Source organism: Homo sapiens, chromosome 7, assembly GCF_000001405.40.
Source record: "Homo sapiens chromosome 7, GRCh38.p14 Primary Assembly".
Lineage (NCBI taxonomy): Eukaryota > Metazoa > Chordata > Mammalia > Primates > Hominidae > Homo > Homo sapiens.
In genome coordinates, this window is record NC_000007.14 from 35728307 (window position 1) to 35734304 (window position 5998).

At 44.9% G+C, this 5998-nt stretch overlaps 1 long non-coding RNA gene across 1 annotated transcript, besides 3 other annotated features; it reads right to left on the reverse strand.

Moving 5' to 3' along the window:
- Positions 377-526: an enhancer, noted in NCBI's record as "active region_25839". NCBI's record gives its function as "activates an Ori minimal core promoter by ATAC-STARR-seq in GM12878 lymphoblastoid cells {active_cell/tissue: GM12878}" and the evidence as "EXISTENCE:reporter gene assay evidence [ECO:0000049][PMID:35858748]".
- Positions 977-1076: an enhancer, noted in NCBI's record as "active region_25840". NCBI's record gives its function as "activates an Ori minimal core promoter by ATAC-STARR-seq in GM12878 lymphoblastoid cells {active_cell/tissue: GM12878}" and the evidence as "EXISTENCE:reporter gene assay evidence [ECO:0000049][PMID:35858748]".
- Positions 1987-2236: an enhancer, noted in NCBI's record as "active region_25841". NCBI's record gives its function as "activates an Ori minimal core promoter by ATAC-STARR-seq in GM12878 lymphoblastoid cells {active_cell/tissue: GM12878}" and the evidence as "EXISTENCE:reporter gene assay evidence [ECO:0000049][PMID:35858748]".
- On the reverse strand, positions 3656-5403 carry LOC124901615 (uncharacterized). The gene is made up of 2 exons (XR_007060286.1): positions 4433-5403; positions 3656-4324 (listed from the first exon to the last, which is right to left on the reverse strand). It is a non-coding gene; the product is annotated as an uncharacterized LOC124901615 (long non-coding RNA).
- Positions 5404-5998: the final 595 nt, after the last annotated feature.

Below are 5998 nucleotides of genomic sequence, written 5' to 3' on the forward strand. Positions count from 1 at the left end.
ATTCCTTTCCCAGACACACACTCCACTCTTAACAGTTTCATGTGTAAACTTCTAGATCTTCTTCTGTGTGTTTTCATACATGTACATATCTTCATACATTATGTGCTTTCATACATGTATATTCAGATGAATACTCATATATTTGTGTTTTTGCACATATATACATTGTGCACATACATTCAGAGTGTTTTAGTCAGAGTGCAATCAGAAGGCAGAGCAGTGCTAGATATGACATTGCAAGCAGAGGGAATTTAACAGAGATGGTGGGGGAGTTCAGTGGCCACAGAACAGCAGGAAGCCACTATCAACCCTGGAGCTGGAGGGACAGAGGGAGGAAGCAGAGTTACCAGAGCCCAGGAGCTTGGGTCAACTGGAAGAATCTGGGACCATGGCAGCACTTCCAGCTAAATCTGGAGCAGTAGAGGAAGAGGCTATCTGACAGTAGGTGGAGACATGGACGAAACCTATCAGACACCATGTGAAGCAGGGAGAAAGGGAGACATAACCTGTCTTCTTCCCTCCTCTCATTCTCCAGTGTCTGTCACTGGCTCTCCTTAGCCAGTCTGGAAATGAGCCTGGAAAATGTAGTTCCCAAGGATACAAAGCCCAGATAGAGGATGGTCTGGAATGGATCTGAGAGCAAGCAGACAAAAGGCCAGCACATGAAGTTGAAAATAAAACACATAAATAGCATCATGGTATATGTAATGTTCTAAATTTATCACTTACCATTTTTACAGAGATAAAATCTGGTTAAAATGGCCATTGAGAGCAGGCTTGATCCACAGAATGAAAGGTACAGCAGGAGAGCACAGAGGCAGACAGCAAGGAAAGACATGCTACAGAAGGGCAGCCCAGGGGCTGGGGTGGGTGCAGGTCTTGTTCCTTGGGAACCAGGCCTGATCTGCTCTGCAGAGTGGGAGGAGGGCAGGAGTATGAGATGACCATTGCCCAGCAGTAGTATCAAAGACTCAGAGAGTTTACAGCCTGAAGGAAACTTAGGTCTCCCATTTCAACTCATGACTTCTACAGAATAAGGAACTGAAAAGCAGAAAGTGATGGGCCCGGCAACCCAAAGTATCTCAGCTAGTTTTTTTTTTTTTTGTCATTTTTGGTTTTTTGGGGCATGGTGGAGGAGGTGTTAGGGGACAGTTTAGCACCAATGCCTCCTCTTCCTGCTGTGAGTCACCGAGCAGCCTAGCAGAAAAGCTGTGAGGAGAAATGAGAAGCTCTAGAGGCAATCAAGCTCATCTGTCCTGCTGGGGGGCCAGTGTTAGACACCTGACATGTCTTAAAAGCGGAGTCACCAAAGGACATCTTTTTCTTAGAAACTCCCCTAGCCTCCAGAGTCTGGTTTTAAACTGTCTGTGGCATAATCTCAGAGCCTCCAGCAGGTCTCAGGGACTGTGCTAGATACAAAGATGAATGAGATAAGATAATGAACAAGAGACATATTTCCAGGAGCTCTGAGCCTCACAGGGAATCAGAAGTGAATAAAAGGGAGCATGATGCAATGTGATAAATATAATACCTATGGCACAGAAGAGGAGTTGATAATTGCTGGGGGAAGCAAGAGCAGGGAGCTGGGAAAAGAAAGCTTCACAAAGGTAACCGCAGGGAAAGTGTTGAAGGAGGAATAGGAGCTTTTCAGAACACTAACCCCAATGTTAATAACTGAATTAGACCAACCTTCCCCAAAGACCACTATTATTCCTCAAGGATTTACACAGAAACTGTTCTTATCCCATTTACCTCTTATTACATAATGGGAACCCCCCACCCACCCACACACACACACACATATTTGAAAGTATATGATAGATGAAATGAGTTCACTGCCCCATCAACCATGATCGGCAGGGCCAGATTAAGATCTTCAGAGACTCTGGGCACTGCAAAGTTGATGGTGCTTCCATACGTAATTTAATGTAGGAAACAATGCCATCATGCACATGCCTGTAAAGAAGTCCAGCAAAGTTCTGGTTTTTCCTACAATGACACATTTTAGATGTTTTTCAAAATATCAAATAGCCAACATCACCCATGTAATGGTACTGGGATTCTTTTGGTGCCCCTGCTCTGCCAGTGCCCATGCCTGCTTATGGGTGACCCTGCACTGATGAGGCAGCCCCTTCCCACGCCAGAAACCCCAGGTGGGGTTGGCCTCATAAGTTCATATTCCTATTCTTAACCAAATGGACTTAAAGTTGTTCTTTCACTTCCCCATATATCACATGCATTATGACTTTGTTCTTTATCCCTTTCTGTCAACAAACACTCAACCTGCAACCCACGAAGGCCGTCTGAAGGTCTAGTGGTCTGGTTAACCATAAAGAAAGACTGGTGTGAGAAATGCTATTTTCTTATACTAAGCTCAGCTGCTTGTAGCAAGAGGAAGACCATGTGACAGTGAGGTGTTTATGAGCACAGGCTTTAAAAACAGCCATGGTTTAGCCGGGCGCAGTGGTTCATGCATGTAATCCCAGCACTTTGGGAGGCTGAGGTGGGCAGATCATGAGGTCAGGAGCTCGAGTCCAGCCTGACCAACATGGTGAAATCCCATCTCTACTAAAAAAAATACAAAAATTAGCCAGGCATGGTGGCACACGCCTGTAATCCCAGTTACTCAGGAGGCTGAGGCAGGAGAATCGCTTGAAACCTGAGAGGCAGAGATTGCAGTGAGCCAAGATCGCGCCACTGCACTCTAGCCTGGGAGACAGAGCAAAACTCCATCAGAAAAAAAAAAAGAAAAAAGAAAAAACAGCCATGGCTGGGTTCAACATTTGCTCTTTCACTTAACCATACGATCTTGGGCAAGTTACTTTACACCTGTAAATCCAAATTTTATCATCTATAAAATGTGCTTAATAATAGCACCAGCCGGGCGTGGTGGCTCGCGCCTGTAATCTCAGCACTTTGGGAGGCCGAGGCAGGTAGATCACCTGAGGTCAGGAGTTCGAGATCAGCCTGGCCAACATGGTGAAAACTCATCTCTACTAAAAATACAAAAATTAGCCGGGGGTGGTGGCGGGCACCTGTAATCCCAGCTACTCGGGAGGCTGAAGCAGGAGAATAGCTGAACCCAGGAGGCAGAGGTTGCAGTGAGCCAAGATTGCGCCACTGCGCTCTAGTCTGGGTGACAAGAGCAAAACTCTGTCTCAAAAAAAAAAAAAAAAAAAACAGCACCTACCTCCTTACCTCATGAAGTAATTTGTTGAACAAATATTTAGTATACTCTTACTATGTGCCAGGCACTATCCTTGAACAGGGGATACAGCAGTGAGCAAACAAAATCTTTGCCCTAGAGCTTACATTCCAGAGGAAAAAGATAGACAAAAAAAAAAATAGATATCATGTATATATTTAATTATATATAATTATATATCATGTTACAAGGAAAGAGCTAGGCAGCATTGGGGAGAGCTTTCATTTTAGATGGAGTGACCAAGAGCCTGAGTGATAAGGTGACTCTATGGACATGAAAGTGACAGGTAGGCACCAGGGGGACAGCCTTCCAGGCAGGGGGAACAGTCTGCACAGAGGCCCTGAGGCAGAAGCAAGCCTGAATGTTTGAGGAACAGTGAGTATGGCTGGAGTCAACCGAAGGTGGAGCACAGTGGAGGAAAATGAGGTCAGAGAGTAGGAGACTGAAGGGTTTTGAGCACAAGGGTGGCACGGCATGACACGTGTTTTAATAGAATCTCTCTGGCTGCTGGGTTGAGAATACACTTAAGGAGGGTAAGGGTGGAGACAAGGAAACCAATTAAGAAACGACTACCATGATCCAGGTGAGAGATGATGCATGTGATGTCCTTACCTTAGCACCTGACATGAAACCAACTCTGGATAAGGATTCTCATTAGTGTCCTATTGTGACCCGAATCCACACATGCATAGCTGGCAAAGGAAGATCTCAGATTTGTTTTCTTTTCTGCATCTTTCTCAACCATCCATCTACTACCATCATCATCATTTTCCCTAATCTTCTTAAACCCCATCCTTAATATTCTTCCCCCTTTCTTCTCTCTCTGCCTCCTTCTCATTCTGTTATCTTCCTTTTATTACTATAATGTTTTTTCTGGGCACAGTTTTGAAGATTTGTTTTGAATCTTGAAGAGAGAGCAGCAAGCCTTTTGGCCTATGGATTCTAAGAGTCACATTCCAACAGGTGATATCAAAAGGACAAGGAAGCAGGGAGGGGTGACTTGCACGGAAGGTGCCCAGTGAGATGTCTCTGCCATGGAGATTGTGCTGATGCCACAAGCAAAGCGTTTGTACCCCTCTCATCCACAAGAGAAGTCCCTCCGGGTATTTCAGATGATACCTGAAAGGATGATAAGGCAGGGAATCAGAGGCTGACACCGCTATTGGATGGACTGGGGGAGTGAAGACCAAAAGGTCATTTTCAGGAAAAAAATAAATTAGGAAGTACAGGGATAAGACAGAAGCCACCACCAATAACTCCACACCTACAGCTCCAAAGCATGTGATTCAGAAGGATCCTTGTTGATATTGGCCATCACCTTGTGTCACAATACCAGGTGAGTTGTCACAGTGGAAAGCAGGGGTATTCCCAGAAGCCATTCTGACAATGGGACTAGTAGAAATGACTTAACTATACACAGAATTGTCTATGAATCACATAAATGTATCCCACAAAAGTCAAACTAAATATGTCCCCAACTCAACTTCCCCTTGGCCAGAGCCCCAGGATACCCTTGGCCACTCTAATCCCCCACAAGATGACAAAAGGAAAGTCAGAGGCCTCAAGTAATTGTGATTTAAAATCCCTTTTGCCAATTTTACAAAAACCATCTGACCCAGTGTACACATTGCCTGGGCCTGGGAAGGGGTTCTGCAAGGGAGAACTTCAGAAACTTAACCTCCTGGAAAATCAGCTTTTGCCTAGAACAGAAGTAATTTACCTTCATGCCCAGAGAACTGATTCTATTATAGGAAGGGGATTTATTAGCCATTGTTTGTAGCAATAATGTTTTATTCAGCTTAGAACTTGCTAATAATATTACTAGATGATTAATTAATACAGTTTGAATTACTAGATAAGGAGCCACTTTTTGTAACATTTACACTCTGACTTCTGATTCACTCCCTTTTAAATCAGTCAGTCCCAAACTCATTCATTCGACAAAAATTTATTGAGGGCATACTTTCTGCAGGCACTGTGCTAAACTCAAATGGTGGGGAAAGTAAACACAGACCCTGCCTCCATGGGACCCTCAGGGGAGGAGACACATAAACAAATAATCAGACAAGTATATAGCCACTGGGCTAGACAGGAAAAGTTCAGGGTCCTGTGAGAGTAGGACAGGGGGTCCTAACCTAGTGGGGGTGACAGGAAAGACTGAGATCTGAAGGATTCATTCTTTCAACAATTATTTTTGAATGCCTACCTCTTGTCCAAACAGTGCTAAGGCCTGGAATAAGGTAAGCAAAAGCTGCAGAGTTCCTGTCTTCTGTCTTCCTAGAACTGGAGGAGACATTGTCAGATAATCCGATTGCATCTGTCTGTAAATTACAACCTAATAATGGCCTCCATGAAGGGGGATGCAGGGGCATATGTGAGGATATGTAAGGAGGGTTGGCGCAGCAGGGACAGGCTTTCTAAAGGGGGCCACAGGGTTCTGAGAGCCAGAGACAGAGTTAAATGGATGGGTAAGAAGGGGGGAAGGCATCTGGGAGTATTCCAAGCAAAAGGAACGGTGAGCAAGGGCCCGGGAGTGGGAGAGAGCACGTAGGAGGGAGAAAAAGACAAAAAGAGCCCTGTGTGGCTGGGGTGGCTCCAGGTGAAAGTACAACTACATGGGGCTGGATAAATAAGAATGGGCTGGTGTGCCTCAAACTCATGGGAGCACCGGAAAAGTTTGGAGCAGTGGAGAGGCATGGCCCAACTGGCATTTAAAGGGAACACTCTGGCTGCAGCAAGAATATTGGATTACAAGGGTTGCTTTGGCAGTAACTGCATCCTAATTACTTCCCT